Source organism: Homo sapiens, chromosome 5 (assembly GCF_000001405.40).
Source record: "Homo sapiens chromosome 5, GRCh38.p14 Primary Assembly".
Taxonomy (NCBI): Eukaryota; Metazoa; Chordata; class Mammalia; order Primates; family Hominidae; genus Homo; species Homo sapiens.
In genome coordinates, this window is record NC_000005.10 from 181,261,146 (window position 1) to 181,283,912 (window position 22,767).

Here is a 22,767-nt window from a genome sequence, read left to right on the forward strand (position 1 = left end):
AAAATGACGTCTCGCTCCTGCACACGCTCTGGAGAGACGCTCTAGGCCGGCGGAGGACCACGTCTCTATGGTGTGCCGGGGGCCGCGCGGGCCGGGAGTTGGGTGGGCTGGGGGACAGGCGCGCCCGCGCCGCCCGCTCCAGCTGGGCTAGTGCTGCACATTCCGGCCAGCCCCTCCTCAAGACCCCATTCCCAAGCCCCTTCTCAGCTCCCTCGGGCCGGCAGAGCGGCTCTGATCAGGTCAGCGGCGGACGCCGGGAAGAGGCCCGGCTTGGGAGAGGTGGTTTGGTGGGTTGGCTGGTTCTAGATGGTGGGGGGGTCAACACTTGAGGGGGACTGGGTCTCCGAGCCGTTGTCCAGCCTGAGCCGGAGCCCCAGGAAGGTTAGAGGGAAGGGGGATAAATCTCTCCGGAAGCCCCGCCCGGGCCGGGGCCGAGTTGGTCCGCGGCGGTGGGGAAGCCTGGGACACCACCCTGGTGCTGTCGCCCGTCCCGCCGTCCGCGCTTGGGGTGCCTTTGTGGGGATCCGGGCGCCGCACAGCTGGGAGGGCCTGCCGCCCGGGAGGCTCGGATCCGGGGCGCCCAGTGCCCCCCGCTGCCTTCCGTGAGCCGTCGGGCCCCAGCTCCACGTAGGCCTCAGACCCAGCCCTGTTTCTGCTTGCGGGGCCGCGGCTGCGCAGTATTGCGGCGTCTGCCAGCAAAGCTGCGCCCCGGTCGTGGGTCCCCTGAGGGGGCCGGGGCTCAAGTTCCCTTCGGTGCTGCCGCCTGCGTCGGGCCAGGGTTCCGAGTTCCAGCCCTGAGCTCTGTGAGCTCGGCCGGGAGGGGGCTGGATTTGGGACCACACTTCCTCACCGCCGTGGTTTAGACTTAGTTTGAGAGCGGCTGGCCCCTCCTTCCTGTCCCGGTGTCCTCCGCTGTCTGTTATGCCCTTCACTCCTCCCTGGGGAGGGAGGGCTGGGGGCGCTGTCTGGGTCTGTTTTCCACCCCAGCGGGGCCCTAGGGCAGTGTCATTTAGACTCCACTCTGTCACCTTTCCTGGAGAGGGGACCTGATCCAGGGCTGAGAGGTTTTTTTTTTTTTTTTTTTTTTTGAGATGGAGTCTGGCTGTTGCCCAGGATGCAGTGCAGTGGCGCGATCTCGGCTCACTGCAAGCTCCGCCTCCCAGGTTCACGCCACTCTCCTGCCTCAGCCTCCCGAGTAGCTGGGACTACAGGCGCCCGCCACCACGCCCGGCTAATTTTTTTTTTTTTGTATTTTTAGTAGAAACGGGGTTTCACCCTGTTAGCCAGGATGGTCTCGATTTCCTGACCTCGTGATCCGCCCACCTCGGCCTCCCAAAGTGCGGGCTGAGAGATCTTACAGTGGGAGGGGGAATCAGGCCCTGGGGAAAGGCTTCTCAGGGGTTGTCTCCTTCTGTCTTCTGTCTCTGCAGGTAGGGATAGAACCAGGTCAGGCCTGGATTTGTAGTCCCAGAGAACAGAGGATGGAGATGGGGGCTGGACGCAGCTCAGAGGGGCTGGTGCTCATGGGCTCTGTGTATGCCTTCTCCTGTGGCCTGGTTCTGTGTACAGATGTTCTACCCCAGTGCTGAGGGCCAAGACACCCTCTTGGCCTTGGTGCTGGGGGCATCCTGGGGCAAGGAGTGTAGGCAGAACTCCTCAACATTGGAGATTTGGGGAAATTGTGTCCCCTCCCTTTTAGACTCCTGTAGCCCCCTGCAGTGGCACGATCTGGGCCCACAGCAATCTCCACCTCCTGGGCTCAAGCAGTCCTCCCACTTCAGCTTCTGGAATAGCTGGGAACACAGGCATGCACCACCACTCCAGGCTAATTTCTTTATTTTTTTATAGAGACAGGGTTTCGTCATGTTGCCCAGGCTAAAGTGCCGTGGCTATTTATAGTCACGATTATTGCACCCTACCACCTCAAACTCCTGGACTCAAGTGATCCTCCCGCCTCAGCCTGTGGAGTAGCTGGGACTACAGGCATGCACCACTATGCCTGATTTACCCATTCTCTTTTAGATTTTTTTTTTTTTTGAGAGAGGGTCTTGCTCTGTTGCCCAGGCCAAATGCAGTGGTATGATCATGGCTCATTGCACCCTTGACCCCTGGGCTCAAGTGATCATCCTGCCTCAGCCTCCCAAGTAGCTGGGACTACAGGTGTGCATTACCACATCTGGCTAATTTTTATTATTTTTTTTTTTGTAGAGATGAGGTCCTGCTATGTTGCCCAGGCTAGTCTTGAACTCCTGGTTTAAGCAGTCCTGCCTCAGCCTTACAAAGTGCGGGAATTACAGATGTGAGCCACTACGCTCAGCCCCATACAAGGTTTTTTTTCTTTCTTTACCTGCCCTTCAATAAGAAGTACATTGCACATACTGATCCAATATAGACCTGCACATATATAACAGAAAGAAAATTTCTGCAGTGTTCTTTCCCTTATGACATCCAAAGCACTCTGATATTTTCTGTTTTATTTCAGTAAAATGCTGTTGAAGGCCCACGGGCATGACTGCACCCCTCACTAATTGGTCATTGGTTTGGGGAGGACACCACTGTCCCAGTGGAACCTTGAGCACACCTTGGAGCCCTCCTCTTCCTCTCCGGACCTGTGCCAAACTGTGAGTGGCACAGAGCAAGGACTGTATGTGTTCTCTTCTTTGTTGCATACTCAGTTCCTTGACCACAGTGCCAAGCACACAGCGAGCACTCCCTGTGTATCTGCTGAGTAAATAAACGAATGAACAAACCCAACACATTTCAGCCAAGTCCTGCTGATGTTTCTCCTCCGATCTAGCTCCTCCTTTCCAGCCTTACTTCTGCCACTCCAGATTTCACCCCCATCAGCTTCAGACTGGATAAAAGGAAACCATTTCTCTAAAGGATCACTTGCTCTCTCATTTCAGGCCATCCTGCAGCCACCAGAACCTTCCACATGAAATGAAAGGCTCACCACTTCATAGGCTTTAAGGAAATTCTTGGCCAGGTGTGGTGCCTCACTCATGTAATCCCAGTGCTTTAAGAGGCCAAGATGGGAGGATTGTTTGAGCCAGCTGTTTGAGACCAGCCTGGGCAACGTCATGAGACCCCATCTCCACAAAAAAAAAAAAAAAGAAAATTGGCTGGGTGCGGTGGCTCATGTCTGTAATCCCAGCAATTTTGGAGGCTGAGGCGGGTGGATCACTTGAGGTCAGGAGTTTGAGACCAGCCTGGCCAACATGGTGAAACCCCGTCACTACTAAAAATACAAAAATTAGCCAGGCGTGGCGGCAGGTGCCTGTAATCCCAGCTACTTGCGAGGCTGAGGAAGAATTGCGTGAACCTAGGAGGTGGAGGTTGCAGTGAGCCAAGATCATGCTGCTGCACTCCAGCCTGGGCAACAGAGTGAGACTCCATCTCAAAAATAATAAAAATAAATTAAAAAAATTAAAAATTACCTGCGTGTGATGGTGTGCGCCTGTAGTTCCAGCTACTTGGGAGGCTGAATTGGGAGGATCATTTGAGCCCAGGAGGTCAAGGCTGCAGTAAGCAGTGATGGTGCCACTGCCCTCAGCCTGGGCAACAGAACAACATGCAATCTTAAAAAAAAAAAATCCTGGCCAGGCACAGTGGCTTATGACTGTAATCCCAGCACTTTAGGAGACGGAGGCGGGCAGATCACGAGGTCAGGAGATTGAGACCATCCTGGCTAACACGGTGAAACCCCGTCTCTACTAAAAATACAAAAAATTAGCTGGGTGTGGTGGCAGGCGCCTGTAGTCCCAGCTACTTGGGAGGCTGAGGCAGGAGAATGGCGTGAACCCGGGAGGTAGAGCTGGCAGCGAGCCGAGATGGCGCCACTGCACTCCAGCCTGGGCGACAGAGAGACTCCATCTCAAAAAAAAAAAAAAAAAAAAAAAAAGCCAAGGGGAAGGCCCAACCCTAGCCTTGTCTTCTTTCTCCTCTTTGTGGAGAAGCTCACAGATGTGGGTGTAGCAGAAGTGTGACTGCGGCCCACGCTGCCTCCCTGCGTCTTCTCACCTTCTCCTTGCCCTGCGCTGTCACACCAGCGAACGAACCACACAGCCTCCCCTCAAGGCAAAAAGCCGGGGTCAGGGGTCAACCTGCCAGCTGCCCACGCCGAGGGTTTGACAGCCTCAGCTAGGGCTCTCTAGGCTCCTCCTCTCCACAGTCTTTAACGGGGAGGAGGCCCGGGGCAATGCTGCTGGCAGAGGAGGAGTGGGCTCTAGGTTAGGGAGAAGTGTGGCTGTGCACTGAATTGCTCTTGGCAGTAGCTCACTGAGACTAACTCGGGGGAAGGCACTGTTGGTCCTGGCCTGGGAAAACACGGAAGAGGGCTAGAGGGAGTGAGCTGCAGTGCATTGCGGGCAGGGTCCTGCAGGCTCCCAGGGTCTCGGCCCCAAGAGACAGAACCCCTGCCCTGCCTGGCCGTAAATTAGATGAGGCTGAGAGGAGCAGGGGCTGGAGCTGGTTTTCTCGGAGCCTCTGCAGCGCTAGGCCTTAAGCACACAGCCCCTTCACTCTTCCCGGCCCATGCACCAGGGAGAGGACACGAGGTGGAGTGGCCTGGCCCCTCTGTCCATCCAATCTCTGGCTGCAGTAGGAGAGAGGGCCCCTGCATGCATCATCATCAATTCCAAAGGGCTCCTAGGTTTGTGGGAATTTCAGGCCAGGCAGGTGGTGGGAGAAGGAGACTGAGCTCAGGTTCTTCCCCTAATCAGAGTGAAGATCAAAACACCCTGCTCCTGAGTTCCCTGCATCGGTACCTTCCCTGAGGACAGGAGACGGGGGACCAGGATGGGAGAAGGTCAGGAGAGAGCTGGGGTTGACTCCCAAGGCCCAGGTTACAGCCCCCTGCTCTCAGCCCCATCTCACGGTAGGCCCCTCCCCGGTGTGGGCCAGTCCAGCCTGCCCAAGTGAAATGACCAACGTGCCAGAAAGTTTAATTTCAAGGTTTAAACAATAATAAGTAATACATACTGAAAACAAAACATACATATGCCTCAGACCCAGTGACTCCACCCTAAACCCTATGCCCAGAGGCAAGAAATGCATGCTTATGTTCACCAAAAGATGGATACAGGTGATCAAGGTGCTGTTCCTAATACTTCCAAACTGGAAACAGCCCTCCTATCAACCAGAGAACACATAAGCACATTTGGCCTATTTACATGATGGAATATTTACATCAAAGTGAGAATGAACTTACTACATGCTATGTCATGGATGCATCTCATAGACGTTAAGTGAATTAAGCCTGGCATAAGAGCATCAGACTGTACGATTCCATTCTCTGATGCTCACAACAGACAAAACTACTCCAGGGCCAGAGAAGGCAAGACCGTGGTTACGTGGGGGTGGAGAATGAGTACAGTGGACTCAGGATTTCTGGGGATGCTCCATCCATCTCCTGTTCTGACTGTACGCTTTGAAAATTCATTTCAGCTGCAAATGTATGATTTGTGTCTTTCTGTGGAGATATCACATTTCAAGCAGAGCAGATAAAGAACTACCAATATTCCCAGAGTCTGTAATAGTCAAACCTGCCACAAACCTACAACCAGGCCTGATGCAGACCCACTGGTCACGTTCACTGTGTCCAGCTGGGACTTCTGGAATCTAAGAGACAGTGCCCAGCTGAATTACATAAGCCCCCCAAAAGAACAAAACCACCTTTGCCAAATTATGAACAATGAGTGAAACCTACCACGACTGGTGAAGGGGTGGCCTGTCCCTCCACACTTGTGGGCGTTTCTCGTCGGGTGGAACGAGAGACTTGAGAAAAGAAAGACACAGAGACAAAGCGTAGAGAAAGAAAAGTGGGCCCAGGGAACCGGCACTCAGCATACGGAGGACCTGCGCCAGCACCAGTCTCTGAGTTCCCTCAGTATTTATTGATCATTATTGGGTGTTTCTCAGAGAGGGGGATGTGGCAGGACAATAGGGTAATAGTGGGGAGAGGGTCAGCAGGAAAACGTGAACAAAGGTCTCTGCATCATAAACAAGGTAAAGAAAAAAGTGCTGTGCTTTTGATGTTCATATACACAAACATCTCAATGCCTTAAAGAGCAGTATTGCTGCCAGCATGTCCCACCTCCAGCCCTAAGGCGGTTTTCTCCTATCTCAGTAGATGGAATATACAATCGGGTTTTACACCGAGACATTCCATTGCCCAGGTACGAGCAGGAGACAGATGCCTTCCTCTTATCTCAACTGCAAAGAGGCCTTCCTCTTTTACTAATCCTCCTCGACACAGACTCTTTACGGGTGTCGGGCTAGGGGACAGTCAGGTCTTTCCCTTCCCACGAGGCCATATTGCAGACTATCACATGGGGAGAAACCTTGGACAATACCTGGCTTTCCTCAGCAGAGGTCCCTGTGGCCTTCAGCAGTGTATTGTGTCCCTGGGTACTTGAGATTAGGGAGTGGTGATGACTCTTAAGGAGCATGCTGCCTTCAAGCATCTGTTTAACAAAGCACATCCTGCACCGCCCTTAATCCATTTAACCCTGAGTGGACACAGCACATGTTTCAGAGAGCACGGGGTTGGGGCTAGGGTTACAGATTAACAGCATCTCAAGGCAGAAGAATTTTTCTTAGTACAGAACAAAATGGAGTCTCTTATGTCTACTTCTTTCTACATAGACACAGTAACAGTCTGATCTCTTTCTTTTCTCCACAGACTGGCCCACCTGGCTTCTAACCTTATAGGCTGTTTTGGTATTTTTCTCTTGGTTATTCTAGCACTGAGGCCAAAATAACTATGAGAGGGATTTAGTTTATAGTTAAACTTGGAGGCAAGGGAAACGAACCCCCTCCACCCCATCCAGAGATTCGGGCTGCATTCACATGACAAGGTTAGTATTATGGCAGGGGCTTGGACCTTGCTAAAGAATAGGAATAATTAAGCACTGATTGCTGTCGCTTAGCAGGTTTTCTGTAAGTTACCGACTGCCCCAGAGTCACATAACTGAGGACTGCAAGATTTATAACTTCCGGGCCGGGCTCAGTGGCTCCCGCCTGTCATTCCAGCACTTTGGGAGGCTGAGGTGGGTGGATCACGAGGTCAGGAGTTCAAGACCAGCCTGTCCAAGATGGTGAAACCCTGTCTCTACTAAAAATACAAAAAAATTAGCGGGGCGCGGTGGCAGGCGCCTGTAATCCCAGCTACTCAGGAGTCTGAGGCAGGAGAATCCTTTGAACCCGGGAGGCAGAGGTTTCAGTGAGGCGAGATCATGCCGCTGCACTCCAGCCTGGGTGACGGAGTGAGACCCTGTCTCAAACAAAAACAAAAAGAAAAAGAAAACAAGCACAATACCACAACCAGTACCACAGAAAACCTCAACCAATGGTCATAGAAGCAGCTGAAAATGTTATCTAAGACTACCTCTAAGCAAACTTCTAGAAACACACACATGCATACCTGCCAAAAATGTTTAGCCTGAATCTAATCAAGCTCTCCATCCTAATGTGCAGTTTGTAGGAATCTGGGGAAACAGAGCAAGAACATGTTAAATGACACTTCCAGGAAACAAAGACCCAGAATGAGGGACATTTTCCAAGACAACAGCCCGGTTTTCTTCCAAAAGTCAATCGAAAAATAGGCAAAGGACACAAGCAATTCACCAAAGAAATGCCACATCCAATATACCTTCAATAAATATGTTCACTTACAAGCAATTGAAGACATGCTCGTTACAAACGTTAAGAAGAAACCACTTTTCAAAGTGGCAAAAAAAAAAGTCTTTATAGATAGCACTGAATGCAGACAGAAGTACTGAGATGGACTAACCCACAGGCGCACAAATAAGAACTCCCTTCTGAAAAGCCAGGTACCAATTACAATCCATAAAAATGACTCAGTGCTAACATGTATGAATCCATCTTTTTTTTTTTTTTGAGATGGAGTCTCGCACTGTCATCCAGGCTGGAGTGCAGTGGCGCGATCTCGGCTCACTGCAAGCTCTGCCTCCCAGGTTCACGCCATTCTCTTGCCTCAGCCTCCTGAGTAGCTGGGACTACAGGCGCCCGCCACCACGCCCGGCTAATTTGTTTGTATTTTTAGTAGAGACAGGGTTTCACTGTGTTAGCCAGGATGGTCTCGATCTCCTGACCTTGTGATCCACCCGCCTCGGCCTCCCAAAGTGCTGGGATTACAGGCGTGAGCCACCGCGCCCGGCCACGAATCCATCTTATGAAAATAAAAAATGTGATCCGGGAATTATTTCAAGGTTGTTCAGTGTGAAGTTCTTTACAATATAAACAAAGTACAAAAATGCTTAAATGTTTAACCACAGAATTGTTACTTCAATTATATTTAAATAATAAAAATGAAATATTTCAAAAAGTTTAATGACAAAATTTATAAAGTAGGGCTGTAACTAAAAAAGTTTGTACACAAACATGTTTTTTTTAACGACTAGAAGTACCTCAAAAAGTTAACAAAGGTTTTATATGGGTGGTAGAATTCTCCTATGATATATACATTTTATTCTAAATTTTCAGGAACACATACTACCTTTATCATCAGAAGACAACTATCAGTTTTATTGGTGTTCATTTTTCACACAAACAAAATCTATTTTTAACACATGCATGTTAAAATGTATGGCAGGCTTCTCTTTTTAAGGACCATATCTATTAATTTCTCAGCCAAAGGGAGAAAATGAGATCATAAAAGGAGGAATCCTAACAAACATCCTCCCGCTGTCCAACCTTTTAAACAATCACCAGCCCAGGGTTCTTCATTATTCCCACAAACAAAAATATATATATTTTTGCCCATATATATACACACATATACGTATATATTATATATATATGTATACACACATATACATATATATTATATATATATATGTATACACACATATACATATATATTATATATATATATGTATACACACACACATATATGTATCTCCAGGACAGTGCCTGCTCCTAATGGTTTGTAGTGGCAATTTTAGGCAAGATAGAAGTTAGATTTTTGAACCAGGGATCCTTGTGAGGGAGTTGATCCTCTTCCTCTGAGCTGGCAGGTTGTTCCTTTTTCTCAACCTTAAGGAAAGGAGATGTCTTTGCTGGCATACTATTGTGCCCTTTAACAAGGAGTTGAAGCATTTATTAAAGAGATAATCTAAAGAAAGACAGTGGTTCTGAAAAAGCCATCACGCTTGAGGTCTTGCAATAGGTGGTGAACTTAGGGAGGCTATTCGGCCAGTAGAAGGTACTTGTAAAAGCCTGTGGATCTTTATGACTTGCTTGCACATGGTGTCTAATGAGGGACTGAGTAATAACGAGCCATGAGTCCCTTGAGCATGAGGTTATCAAACAAACTATATAGGTGATTTGAGAACGAGGCTTTTGGGGATCTATTGTGTAAGGGGGCAGGCTTGTATAAGTAGCAACTACAGTGTCAGAGTGATCATGCACTATATGAGGTCCAGGGTGACAAATCCAGCAGGGGATAAGTTAGCAGAAGGAGCACTACATTGGGAAATCCTTGCTAGAGTTATCTTGGCCAGGAGCGGTGGCTCACAACTGTAATCCCAACACTTTGGGAAGCCAAGGCGGACAGATCACCTGAGGTTGGGAGTTCAAGACCAGCCTGACCAACATGGAGAAAACCCCATCCTACTAAAAATACAAAATTAGCTAGGCATGGTGGCACATGCCTGTAATCCCAGCTACTGGGGAGGCTGAGGCAGGAGAATCGCTTGAACCCGGGAGGCAGAGGTTGCCGTGAGCCGAGATGGTGAAACTCCGTCTCAAAAAAAAAAAAAAAGAATAAAAAAAAAGGAGTTACCTTGTCAAGCAAGCAAGGGTCCCCAAAAGACAAACAGGACAAATAATGGTGTACATTTTTAATTTACTTACCTTTTTTGCAAAAACAAAACAACCAACCAAACTAAAAAAGACTTTAGATCTTCCACGGGCTTGCAAACCCACTGTTTTTCTGGCTTCTGAGACAGAAGGGGGCCTCCAGTGGTGCAGCCTTGATTCAGTGTGATGTACCCACAGCTTTATCCCAGCAAGCTTGACTGATGAGTGGGCATTTAGCAACACCTCCAACAACAACCCGTCCACTTGATGGCCAGTTGGTGCTCTGGGCCTTGTTCTCTCCAGGCCTTCAGGAGCACCCAATCTCCAGGTCAGAAAGGGTGCAGAGCTATGTCTGTGGGGTAGGAAGTCCTGCTGGAGGCCAGCTTGTGAGTACAAATTAACATACTACCTAAAGCCTTTACGTATTTAGCAATTGTTAAATCCTCCAGGCCTCAGCAGGCTCCCGTGTTGGATCAGAAACATAGAATGCAGTATTATATAAACATGACACTGAAAATATTGTTTTGTAATGTGTAACTATGTATGTTGCTGCTCAGATGTCTTTATCATTACTGTTACTTTTTTTTGTGTTTTTTTGGATACAGAGTCTTGCTCAGTCGCCAGGCTGTAGTGCAGTGGCACGATCTCAGCTCACTGCAGCCGCCACCTCCCAGGTTCAAGCGATTCTCCTGCCTCAGCCTCCCGAGTAGCTGAGACTACAGGTGCGTGCCAGCAGGCCTGGCTAATTTTTTATATTTTTAGTAGAGACGGGGTTTCACCGTGTTAGCCAGGATGGTCTCGATCTCCTGATCTTGTGATCCGCCCGCCTCGGCCTCCCAGCGGTGGGATTACAGGCGTGAGCCACCACGCCTGGCCAATAATTTTTGTTAACAAATTTCACATTACACTCTTTGTTTTACTGAAACTGCATCTTCTCTTTGTGAACAGAGCACCATGGCCTGGCAAGGTCCGACGTTTTCCAAGGATCCTGGCTGAGCTCCTGTGGAAGCTGCTTCTTACACTGATGTGGTCCCTCGGCTGGCAGGCCCTTCTGCGGCCAACCAGGTGACACCTGCCAGTTATGAGGGACAGGTAGGAGAGGATGGGCTTTCCATCAGAAAAAAAAAAAAAAAGGTTTTCCAAACTGCTTTTCTTTCAAATTTTAATCTTAAGACTAACCTACATTAATTTCTTATTTTTATCTCATAAAGTCCAGAATTTCTGATAATTTCAGTTCTTTTCCAGAGTGCAAAGAAGCATTGGCTCTTCAGGTATTATGTTTAACATTTTGCAGGAATTGCTTTACTCTATAGACAAATAAACTACACATTTAAGACTTATTTCCTCTGTCAGTAAATGTGAACGCTTTGACTAATTTCTCAAGTGTGTTGTTTTGACAGTGAGGCAGATAGCCTGCTGTTTTGGGTCAAACCTACGTAAATGTACATGACCCCAGCAAGTACCACTGAAGACATTTTGGGATATTTTCTCTAAATTGATCTTATCTCATTTACCAGTTGGATGTGCTCTTGCTTTTTCTGCTCCTCTACTCATTTCTAGTCCCCTTTTTTAATTCTTTAAAAAATCTTTTTGCCTTAATTTTTTTGTTGCCCCTAAGGGCATTGTGTTGGACTGCTGATGCCATTTACAATTAATAACTTTCTGGTCTCTGAACTAAAAAAATAAACTTTTTTTTTCTTTAGAGATTCTAGACTCAGCAGAGGAATTCACAGCAAGAGTTGATGTAGAAGTTGACAACCAAGGCCAGGCGCGGTGGCTCACGCCTGTAATCCCAGCACTTTGGGAGGCCGAGGTGGGTGGATCACGAGGTCAGGAGATGGAGACCATCCTGGCTAACATGGTGAAACCCCGTCTCTACTGAAAATACAAAAATTAGCCGGGCGTGGTGGCGGCGCCTGTAGTCCCAGCTACTCAGGAGGCTGAGGCAGGAGAATGGCGTGAACCTGGGAGGCAGAGCTTGCAGTGAGCAGAGATGGCGCCACTGCACTCCAGCCTGGGCGACAGAGCAAGACTCAGTCTCAAAAACAAAAAAACAAAAAACAACAACAAAAAAACAAAAAAACCCATAATAGTAGTGATAAGGCCGGTGCGGTGGCTCATGCCTGTAATCCCAGCACTTTGGGAGGCCAAGGCGGGCGGATCACGAGGTCAGGAGTTTGAGACCAGCCTGGCCAACACGGTGAAACCCCGTCTCTACTAAAAATACAAAAATTAGCTGGACGTGGTGGCGGGCGCCTGTAATCTTCTCAGACACCCAACCACCGGCTCCTCAGCCGGGGCAACTCCCTGTAAGATGACGGCACCTTTTCACGGCCCCCCACCCTGCCCCAAATCCCCGATCCAGCTCCAAATCCCCGATCCAAACCCCAACCCGCGATCCCAAATCTGCGATCTAGCCCAGAATCCGCGATCCAGCCGGGTCCACCACAGCCTTCAGCAGCGACACTCCCAGCCTCCGACCTCTCAGACCCAGTGAGCCTCGCAAGGCCATTAGCAGCGCGCCTGCACCGCGGGGGCCGCCGGGCTCCCAGAAGCCGCTCCCAGGCGGCGCGCCGGCAGGTGGGGCTGCAGCCCGGGGCAGGCGCCGCTGGGCTCGCGGGTTCTCCTGCGCTGGTCCGGGCTGCCCCAGGACCACAGGCGCAGGATCGCAGGCGCGCAGCCCGCCCGGCCTCAGGAGCAGGGCCTGTCTGGCCGTGCGGCCCCACTTAATCTTAATAGCAAATAAAACTCAGCAGTATGCTGTGGTATATTCTATAATGATTCTACACAATTGTAGATTGCATTAGAATAATGTTTTTTAAAATTATTTTCTTGGTAACAAATGGACACTTGAAATTTTATTTTAATTTTAATTTTTTTTTAAACAGAGTTTCACTCTTGTTGCCCAGGCTGGAGTGCAATGGCGCGATCTCGGCTCACTGCAACCTCTGCCTCCCAGGTACAAGTGATTCTCCTGTCTCAGCCTCCCGAGTAGCTCGGATTACAGGCACGGGCCACCACACCCGGCTTTTTTTTTTTTTTTTTTTTTTGGTATTTAGTAGAGACGGGGTTTCATCATGTTAGGCTGGTCGCAAACTCCTGACCTCAGGTGATCCACCTGCCTTGGCCTCCCAAAATGCTGGGATTACAGGAGTAAGCCACTGCGCCTGGGCAAAATTTTATTTTTTAATAATGCCAAGTGATTTCATTTTAAATTAAACCGCAGCATAAATTGGATTATTTTCCTGCATGAGTACCTTGCTCTTCAAACAAAAACATTTTTTAAAGACCAAATATATTGCATACTTTTTTTTAAAAAAGCTCTGGCTGTGTGCATTGGCTTACGCCTGTAATCCCAACACTTTGGGGAGGCTGAGGGAGGAGGACTGTTTGAACCAGGAGTTTGAGACCGGCCTGGGCAACACAGTGAGACACTGGCTCTACAATAATCTTTCTTTAAAAGTTAGCCAGGTATGGTGGTGCACAGCCATGGTCCCAGACACTTGGGAGGTTGAGGTGGGAGGATAGCTTGAGCCTGGGAGGTTGAGGCTGCAGTGAGCTATGATTGCACTCCAGCCTGGGTGACAGAGCAAGAACCTGTCTCAAAAACATGTTCTTTTTTTTTTAAAAATTTATTTATTTATTTTTTATTATTATTATACTTTAAGTTTTAGGGTACATGTGCACAATGTGCCAGTTAGTTACATATGTATACATGTGCCATGCTGATGTGCTGCACCCATTAACTCATCATTTAGCATTAGGTATATCTCCTAATGCTATCCTTCCCCTCTCCCCCCAAAACACCCCCCAAAACATGTTCTTACTGTATAAGAAATTATGAATGACATTTATTTTATGTTAAAACAGTATATTTTATCTACAAAAGGAGTAAAAGACAGTAATACAAAAAATTGGCACATAAAGGAACAAAAATGCTAAAAAATTAAAATTTACCAATAATCCTATCACCTAAATTGATAATTTTTAATATAATTAAATGTAGGATTTTAAAATAAATTTCTTTTAATTTATTTATTTAAACATATAGATTATTTTTAGACCCTCTTCAGGCATCCCCTGTTGAATAAGTTCCATGATTTACAGGCCTACTCTCTCTATTATTAAATATTTTATTGCTTTCAATGAACAACATTTTTTGTAAACATTTTCACAGAAACAAATATGGGCACATTGAGACATGTTTTCTTTTCAAAAAGTCCTAGCACTTTAATTACTGTGTAAAGAGATATTAGTGTACAATTTTCACACATATTGACTAACGTCCCTGCAAAATGTTGAATCAATTTATACTTGCAGCACCAATCGGCAAATTAATGTCCATTATGCTTTCGCTTCACCAAAACTGATACTTATATTTTATTTTGCTAGACAAAAATACATATTATCTTAATTTGCATAACTGTAATTAATAGAAAGATTAAATTTTTTTTCAGATGTATCATAGGACATCATTTTTTCTTGAGTCTGGTGGGTGCTTAGTTCCTTTAAAGCATTAATCTTGTATACATTAATTTTATGTGCAAAACAATCATTAAGTACAATTTGAAATATGGAAAAATAAATAGCTGGATTAAGAAAAAAACAAATAGAGCTTCTGGAATTAAAACATTCACTAATGGAATTTCAAAACACAGTTGGAATCTTTAACAATAAACTAGACCAAGCAGAAGAAATAATTTTAGACTTTGAAACTGGTCTTTCAAAGTAACCCAGTCAGACAAAAATAAAAGAAAAAAGAACTGAAAAACAAAGCCCTTAAGAAATATGGGATTATGTAAAGTGACCAAACTTATAACTTATTGGCATTCCTACAACAGAAGAATAAAAAGTAACCAACTAAGAAAGTATATTTAAGGGAATAATTTAGGAAAAGTTCTCTAGTCTTGCTAGAAAGGTTGACATTCAGATATAAGAAATTCAGAGAACACCTGTGGGATAGTAAACAAGATGCCCATTCCTAAGGCATCCACAGTCATTAGAATAGCTGTGGTCAATGCAAAAGAAAATATATTAAAGGCAGCTCAAACAAAGGGCCAAATTACCTATAAAGTAAATTAGATTAACAACAGACTTAGCAGCAGATACCCTGCAACCTAGAAAAGATTGGGGCCTAGCGTTAGCCTTCTCAAAGAAAAAAAAAAATGCCATCCAATAATTTCTTTTTTTTGGAGACAGAGTCTCACTTTGCCACCCAGGCTGGAGTGCCGTGGTGTGATCTCAGCTCACTGCAACCTCTGCTTCCTGGGTTCAAGCAATTCTCCTGCCTCAGCCTCCCCAGTAGCTGGGATTACAGGTGCCCGCCACCACACCTGGCAAATTTTGGTATTTTTAATAGAGATGGAGTTTCTTCATGTTGGCCAGGCTGGTCTTGAACTCCTGACCTCAGCTGATCTGCCTGCCTCGGCCTCCCAAAGTGCTAGGATTACAGGCGTGAGCCATTGCGCCCAGCCATGCAAGAATTTCATAACCTGCCAGACTGAGCTTCATAAAGAAAGGAAAATAAGGTATTTCCAGACAGGAAAATGCTAAGGGAAGTCATTACCTCCAGACTGACTCTAAAATAAATGTTTAAAGGAGTTTGACTCGTGAAAATAAAAGAATGATACTTGCTATGATAAAAGCATACATGAATACAAAATGTACAGAACCTACAAAGCAATTAAACAATTGAGACTACAAGGTAACTAGCTAATGCTATAAAAGGAAGAAAACCTAACACATCAATATTAAGCTGGAATGTAAATGGCTGAAATGCTCCACTTAAAAGACACAGAGTGGCAAACTGGATAAAAAAACAAGACACTTCTGCTGCCTTTGAGAGACCCATCTCATGTGTAATGATCCCAACAGGCTCAAAGTAAATGGATGGAAAAAGATTCATCACATAAATGAAAAACAAAAAAGGAGAGGTATTGCTATTCTTGTATCAGATAAAACAGACATTAAACCAACAACAGTAAAAAAAAATACAAAGAAGGGCATTATATAATGATAAAGTGTTCAATTCAACAAGAAGACTTAACTGTCTTAAATATATATGCAGCCAACATTGGAGCACCCAGATTTTTAGAATAAATATTACTAGACCTAAGAAAAGAGATACACAGCTGTACAATAATTGTGGAGGACTTCAACACCCCACCGACAGCAGTAAGCAGATTATTAGTTAGGCAGATTATTAGGCAAAAAACTAACATTGAAACTGTGGACTCAAATTGGGCTCTTGACCAAACAGACCTAATAGATATCTACAGAATACTCCACCCAGAAACCATAGAATGTACATTTTTCTCATTTGCACATGGAACATTCTCTAAAATTGACCACATGCTCAGTCATAAAATAAGCCTCAATAAATTTTTAAAAATCGCAACTATATTAAGTATCTTCTCAGACCACTGTGGAATAAAATTAGAAGTCAATATGGAGAACTCTCAGAACCACAGAGGTACATGGAAACTAAACAATCTGCTCATGAATGACTTTTGTGTAAATAACAGAATTAAGGCAGAAATTTAAAGAAATTCCTGAAACAAATGAAAATAGAAACATAACATACCAAAACGTCTGGGATACAGAAAAAACAATGTTAAAAGGAGAGTTTATAACACTAAATGCCTACATAAAAAGAAAGAAAGGTCTCAAATTAACAAGCTAAAATAGACAAACACACTAGAAAAGAACAAACCAAACCCAAAGGTAGTAGAAGGAAATAACAAAGGTTAGAGAATAAGTTAATGAAATCGGGACCAAAAAAACCATACAAGGAATCAGCAAAATTAAAAAGTTGGTTCTTTGCAAGGACACATAAAAATGATAGATTGCTAGTTAGATTATGCAAGAAAAAAAGAAGATTCAAATAAGCACAATAAAAAATGACAAATGAGACATTGCAAAGGATACCACCGACATAAAAAAAGATCCTCAGAGACTGCTATGAATATCTTTGTGTGCATAAACTAGAAAACCTAGAGAAAATGGGTAAATTCCTGGAAACACACAACCTTCCAAGACTGAATCAGAAAGAAACCAAAAGTCCACCAGGGCAGTGCCAACAGGAAATGTGGGATTGAAGCCTCCACACAGAGTCCCCACTGGGGCACTGCTTACTGGAGCTGTGGGAATGGGGCCACCACCTCGAGATCCCTGAATGGTAGAGCCACGGGAAGCTTTCATCCTGAGCCTAGAAATACCACAGGCACTCAACTCTGACCCAAGACAGCAGCCATGGTGACTGTACACTGCAAAGCCACAGAGGCAGAGCTGCATAAGGTCTTGGGAACCCACCCTTGCACAAGTGTGCCCTGGATGCGGGACATGAAATCAAGAATTATTTTGGAGCTTGAAGGTTTAATGTATGCCTTACTGGGTTTCAGATTTGCCTGAGGCCTGTTGCCCCTTTCTTTTGCCCAACTTCTCCATTTGGGAATGGGAGTATTTACCCAACACCTGTACTGCATTGAATATTGGAAGCAAATAACTTGGTTTTGATCTTATAGGCTCATAGGTGGAGGAACGTACCTAGAAGCTCAGATGATATTTCGGATTTTTGAGTTGATGCTGAAACAGCTTGAGATTTTTGGGGACTACTGGGAGAGGATAATTGTATTGTGCAATATGAGAAAGACATGAGGTTTGGGGGCCATAGGGGTGAAATGACATTGTTTAGATGTGTTTACCCTCAAAATCTCTTGTTGAATGTGATCTCAAATGTTGGTGGTGGGCCTAGTGGAAGGTGTTGAATCATGGGGGTGGACCCTTCATAAATTGCTTAGCTCCATCCCCTTGGCGATGAGCGAGTCCCTGCTCTGTTGTGTCACACGAGACCTGGTTGCTTAAAACAGCCTGCCATGTTCCCCTTCTTGCTCTTGATTTCTCTCTCGACACGTGATACACTGGCCCTCCCTTTGCCTTCCTCTGTGATTGGATGCTTTCTGAGGTCTCACCCAAACCTGAGCAGGTGCTAGTCCCATGCTTCTACTGCCTGCACAACTATAAACCAAATAAATATTTTTTCTCTATAAATTTAAAAAAATCTGGACAGACCAGTAGTTAATTATGAAATTGAATTTGTAATAAAAATATTTATCAAGCAGGAGAAGCCCAGGACTAGATGAATTCACAGCTGAATTTTACCAAACATACAAAAAAATAGATGGTATCAATGTTACTGCAACCATTCTAAAACATTGAGGAGAAGGAATTCCTCTCTAACTGATTCTACAAAACCAGTATCATCCTGACACTAAAATCTAGCAAGAAAACAACAACAACAAACTACAGGCCAATATCTGATGAACATAGATGCAAATATCCTCAACAAAATGCTAGTAAACCAAATCCATCAGCATATCAAAAATGTAGTTCATCGTGATTACATAGGTTTTATTCCTGGGATCCAAGGACTATTTAATATATGCAAATCAATAAATGTGATTTACCACATAAACAGAATTTAAAACAAAAATCATATGATTATCTCAATAAATGTAGAAAAAACATTCAATAAAATTCAACATCCTTGCCAGGTGCGGTGGCTCACACCTGTAATCTCAGCACTTTGGAAGGCAGAGGTGGGCCAATCAACGGAGTTCAGGACCAGCCTGACCAACATGGAGAAACCCCATTTAGAACTAAAAACGCAAAATTAGCTGGGCGTTGTGGCGCATGCCTGTAATCCCAGCTACTCAGGAGGCTGAGGCAAAAGAATGGCTTGAACCCGGGAGGTGGAGTTTGCAGTGAGCCGAGATCACACCACTGCACTCCAGCCTGGGCAACAGAGCGAGACTCCATCTCAAAAAACCAAACCAAACCAAAACAAAACAAAAAAACCTGAAATCATATCAATTATTTTTTCTGACCAGAGGGGAAGAGTATCAAAAAATCAGTAACAGGAGGAATTTTTTTCCCGACCGTCTTTGGCTCCCTCTCTCGCCACCCTTTTTCTTCCTCCATCTACCCCAAAACTTTTTCCCCACCATTTTTTCCCCACTGTCTTTTTGCAAAGCCTTCTATACTCTCCCGCTCACTACCGTTTCCCCACCCATCTACCCCAAAACTTTTCCCCACTGTCTTTTCTCCCTCTCCCTGGCCACCCTTTTTTCTACCTCCCACTCTCATTACCCTCTTTTGCTCCTCCATCTCCCCAAAAACATTTCCCCCAACTTTTCCCAAAGCCTTCTCCCCACTCCTGCTGCTCGCCACCCTCTTTCCCCTTTCATCTACCCAAAAACTGTTTCCCTATCATCTTTTTCTCCCTTCCTCCTTGCCACCCTCCTTCCCTTCTCCATCTACCCAAAAACATTTCCCCGCCGTCTTTTTACAAAGCCTCTTCTCTACTCCTGCTCACCACGCTCTTTTACCCATCTACCTCCCCAATTTTTCTCTGCCATCTTTTCACAAAGCCTTCCCCGCTTCCCGCCTGCCCTCTTCTTTCCTCTATCCTGCTTGCCACCCTGTTTTTGCCCTCCATCTACCCCAAACTATTTTCCCCATAGCCTTTTTCCCATTCCTCTTTCCCCACTCCCTCTGGCCACCCTCTCTATTCTCCTCCCACTTGCCACCCTCTTTTCCCCCTCCATCTACCTAAAAGCTTCTCTCCTCACTGTCTTTTTGCAAAACCTTCTCTCCCTCTTGCTCACCACACTCTCTTCCCCCTCCCTCTTCTGCACGCTCTTTTCTCCTCCCACTTGTCACCCTTTTCCCCCCTCCATCTACTCAAAATCTTTTTACCTACAGTCTTCTTTCCCTTTCTTTTCTCCCCACCGTATTTTTGCAAACCTTCTCTCCTTCCTGCTCATCCCCGTTCCCCCCTCACGACCCTCTCTTTCCCCCTTCCATCTACCCAAAAACTTTTTCCCCACCGTCTTTCTATGAAACCTTCTCTCCCTCCTGTTCACCACCCTGTTTTCCCCCTCCATCTACCCCTCAATTTTTTTTCCCCAACATCTTTTTCTCACCGTCTTTATGCAATGTCTTCTCTGGCTCGCCATCCTTTTTTCCTTTTGGCACTAACCACCCTCTTTACCCCTCCATCTATCCCAAAACTATTTTCCCCTTCCTACCACTCCAGCTACACTACAGTTTCTGTCGCCACCAACTGCAGGGAGGCCAGCCGCGGTGCGCAAACTACAGCCTCCAGTCTGTCCTGGTCCTCTAATCCGGGCTCGGAGCAGCACCGGGAGCAGACACAGAAAAACCTGGAAGAGCCTCTCTTCTTCAGCACCAATTATATACTGAGGTTATTCATATGCGGTTCCTGGACTACATGTTCCAGGACTGGACAACCAATCAGAGTATGAAAATAAAGTCCAATCAGAGAAGGCCTAGAGGTTTTCTCTCACCCAATCAGAACATGCAGTCCAGAAACCATGCGCATAACCCAATGTGCATGCTGAGGAGGCCTCACGCCAGTTTAGGCTCTCCAGTATCTCCCACTGAGCTACTCTGTCCCCGACTTAGAGGACCAGGAGAAGGGGGAGCTGGAGGCTGGAGCCTGCCACACCGTGGCTCGTCTCACTCTGGATGGTGGTGGCAACAGAGATGGCAGTGTGGCTGGAGTTTTAGGAGGGCGGCCTGAGCCGTAGGAGGGGGCTGGAGCAGTAACATGGCGGCCTGAGCGGTAGGCGGGAGCTGGAGCAGTAAGAGGGCGGCCTGAGCGGTAGGAGGGGGGCTGGAGCAGTAAGAGGGCGGCCGGGGCGGTAGGCGGGGGCTGGAGCAGTAAGAGGGCGGCCTGAGCGGTAGGCGGGGGCTGGAGCACTAAGAGGGCGGCCGGGGCGGTAGGAGGGGGCTGGAGCAGTAAGAGGGCGGCCTGAGCGGTAGGCGGGGGCTGGAGCAGTAAGAGGGCGGCCTGAGCGGTAGGAGGGGGGCTGGAGCAGTAAGAGGGCGGCCTGAGCCGTAGGAGGGTGGGTGGCAGCTGGAGATGCTCTTGACCGGCTAGAGGTCTAGGAGAAGGTGGGGACCGTGTCCAACACTCGTGGCTGGAGCCTTGGCCACCGCGGTTCTCCTGGCTGTGGTTGGTGGTGGCGACGGAGACTGCATCTCTGTTAGACTGGTAGAAAGGTGGCAGGGTAGGTGCGCTCTCTGCGGCTGCACTGCCCGCTTGCGGGGTGGTAGGGGAGCGGGTGTGGCGTGCTTTTGGGGCTGCACTGCCTGCCGCGGGGGGCTGGTGGGTGGCGCTATCAGGCGTTGAATTGCTGGCAGTGGGGCAGGTTCGCTGCACTATCAGGCTCTACACTGCCTAAGGGGGCGGGGGGTTGGAGGCAGGTTGTGGGTTGTGTGCACTGTCGTGCACTGCCAGTGGCGGGTGGCAGGGGGTTAGGAGCATTATTAGCTGCTGCACTGGCTGATGCAGGGGGCGGGTTGGGTGAGCTATCGTGGGCTACAATGTCAGCAACAATGCCAACTGGCAGGCAGTCGGGGGTGCTTTAGGGGAGCTGTCAAATGCTGCATTGTCCGTGGGGGAAAGGGGAAGGTGGGGTGGGGGGTTGGTTGGGTGCACTGCCCTGGGCGTTCACTGCCCGAGACGGGAGCAGATTGGGGGCGCTATCTGGGGCTGTGCTGCTTGTGGTTCGGGTGGGGGGCGGGTTTGGTGGGGTGTTATTTGGTGCTGCAACACCCGTGGCGGGGATGGGTTGTGGACACTATCGAGTGTTACACTGCCAGGAGCAGAGGGGTGGTTTGGGGGCGCTATCAGGGTTACACTGCCTGCAGCAGTCTCTGGGTGTGTTGTGGGCACAATCCGGGGGCTACGCTTGTCGGTGGGGGGGCAGGTTGGGGCGCTATGGGGGGAGGCTGCACTGCTGCTGCCAGCGGCAGGTTGTGGAGGTGGCCACGACAGTGGTGGCCTCTGAGGAAGGGGCCCTTCTCCTCTTCCCGGACTCAAGGCTCTAGAGGGTGAACAACTTCTGCTCGTGTTGGAGCGTGGAGGGTGTACAGAGTTTTCACGGCAATCCTCTGACCACCCCAGGGCCCTCACACCCACCATGGTTCCCCGGCCCTTGCCCTCTTGCTGCGTGGTGTGGAGACCATCTGGGGGCCCCAGGCGTGGAGTAGTGGGCACCACGGGGGCTCAGGGTCCTGTGGGTGGAGGAGTGAGGAATGGGAACTGGTACTTGGGTGGAGAGGACTGGCTGGGTCTGAGTTTCTGCTATTCTTGCTCCCCAGTGAGCCCTGGGCACTGTGGTGTCTCCAGTCCCCACCCCAGGTCAGGAGGCCAGCTTGGTCTAGGAGGAGAGGCTGGACTTTGGAGGGTAGGTGTGAGTGCCTTTGCTGAAACTGGTCCCTGCCACCCAGTGGCCAGCATGACAAGGTGAGGCTCCAACACTGCCACTTTCTGCATCCTGTTGTAGGTTTTTCTGGCATTGTCTGCCCAGCTGCTCCAAGCCAGGCTGATGAAGGAGGAGTCCCCTGTGGTGAGCTGGAGGTTGTAGCCTGAAGATGGCACAGCTCTGTGATTCATCTCCTGCGGTTGTGGCGGCCACGGTGATGGAGACTGCAGCTCAACAGGAGTGGTAGGAGGGTACCCGTGGAGGCCAAGTAGTAGGAGCCTTGGAGGGTGGGTAGGTGCATGGAGGGTGACAGCAGCGCTGGTTCCGTTGGCGTCGGCGCTAATGGTGGCAGCAGCAGCAAGTCTAGGGGCCAGGAAGGGGGAGTAGGAGAGCTCTGGGGCCCGGCCCGGCCTGGGGTGGGTAAGAAGCTGCCGGTTCTGTACCGCAGGCCTCAGTGACAGTGGTGGACCAGGGCAAGGAGGAGTCCTCCCCCTTCTCCTGCGGTCTCTGGAGGGTGCCCTCCTTCTGCTGGCGTCTGAGCCAGGTGTGAGTGGCAGCATTGTTTCATTCTTAACAGAATTTAGGGGCTTACTATTTGTGTATCTTTTTGTTTTTGGTTGTGGTAACCCTTAAGGGACAAAAGGCTTCTTTG

The 22,767-nt window shown here is 47.8% G+C and overlaps 1 long non-coding RNA gene across 4 annotated transcripts, besides 7 other annotated features; it reads left to right on the plus strand.

Annotated features, from left to right (window-relative positions):
• TRIM52-AS1 (TRIM52 antisense RNA 1) lies at positions 67-11,162 on the plus strand. 4 transcript variants are annotated; one of them, NR_102762.1, is made up of 3 exons: positions 67-239; positions 10,428-10,544; positions 10,771-11,162. It is a non-coding gene; the product is annotated as a TRIM52 antisense RNA 1 (long non-coding RNA). The 4 variants fall into 4 exon arrangements; NR_102760.1 differs by lacking the exons at positions 10,428-10,544; positions 10,771-11,162 and adding exons at positions 2,483-2,644; positions 2,907-3,422; NR_102761.1 differs by lacking the exons at positions 10,428-10,544; positions 10,771-11,162 and adding exons at positions 2,483-2,621; positions 2,907-3,422.
• Positions 119-268: a silencer, noted in NCBI's record as "silent region_16798". NCBI's record gives its function as "represses an Ori minimal core promoter by ATAC-STARR-seq in GM12878 lymphoblastoid cells {active_cell/tissue: GM12878}" and the evidence as "EXISTENCE:reporter gene assay evidence [ECO:0000049][PMID:35858748]".
• Positions 379-628: a silencer, noted in NCBI's record as "silent region_16799". NCBI's record gives its function as "represses an Ori minimal core promoter by ATAC-STARR-seq in GM12878 lymphoblastoid cells {active_cell/tissue: GM12878}" and the evidence as "EXISTENCE:reporter gene assay evidence [ECO:0000049][PMID:35858748]".
• Positions 3,710-4,328: an enhancer, noted in NCBI's record as "H3K4me1 hESC enhancer chr5:180691856-180692474 (GRCh37/hg19 assembly coordinates)". NCBI's record gives its function as "activates a minimal SCP1, AML or CMV promoter by ChIP-STARR-seq in naive H9 embryonic stem cells {active_cell/tissue: H9 hESC(naive)}" and the evidence as "EXISTENCE:reporter gene assay evidence [ECO:0000049][PMID:30033119]".
• Positions 4,329-4,946: an enhancer, noted in NCBI's record as "H3K4me1 hESC enhancer chr5:180692475-180693092 (GRCh37/hg19 assembly coordinates)". NCBI's record gives its function as "activates a minimal SCP1, AML or CMV promoter by ChIP-STARR-seq in naive H9 embryonic stem cells {active_cell/tissue: H9 hESC(naive)}" and the evidence as "EXISTENCE:reporter gene assay evidence [ECO:0000049][PMID:30033119]".
• Positions 6,025-6,594: an enhancer, noted in NCBI's record as "OCT4-NANOG-H3K27ac hESC enhancer chr5:180694171-180694740 (GRCh37/hg19 assembly coordinates)". NCBI's record gives its function as "activates a minimal SCP1, AML or CMV promoter by ChIP-STARR-seq in naive H9 embryonic stem cells {active_cell/tissue: H9 hESC(naive)}" and the evidence as "EXISTENCE:reporter gene assay evidence [ECO:0000049][PMID:30033119]".
• Positions 6,595-7,164: an enhancer, noted in NCBI's record as "OCT4-NANOG-H3K27ac hESC enhancer chr5:180694741-180695310 (GRCh37/hg19 assembly coordinates)". NCBI's record gives its function as "activates a minimal SCP1, AML or CMV promoter by ChIP-STARR-seq in naive H9 embryonic stem cells {active_cell/tissue: H9 hESC(naive)}" and the evidence as "EXISTENCE:reporter gene assay evidence [ECO:0000049][PMID:30033119]".
• Positions 19,465-20,167: an enhancer, noted in NCBI's record as "H3K27ac hESC enhancer chr5:180707611-180708313 (GRCh37/hg19 assembly coordinates)". NCBI's record gives its function as "activates a minimal SCP1, AML or CMV promoter by ChIP-STARR-seq in primed H9 embryonic stem cells {active_cell/tissue: H9 hESC(primed)}" and the evidence as "EXISTENCE:reporter gene assay evidence [ECO:0000049][PMID:30033119]".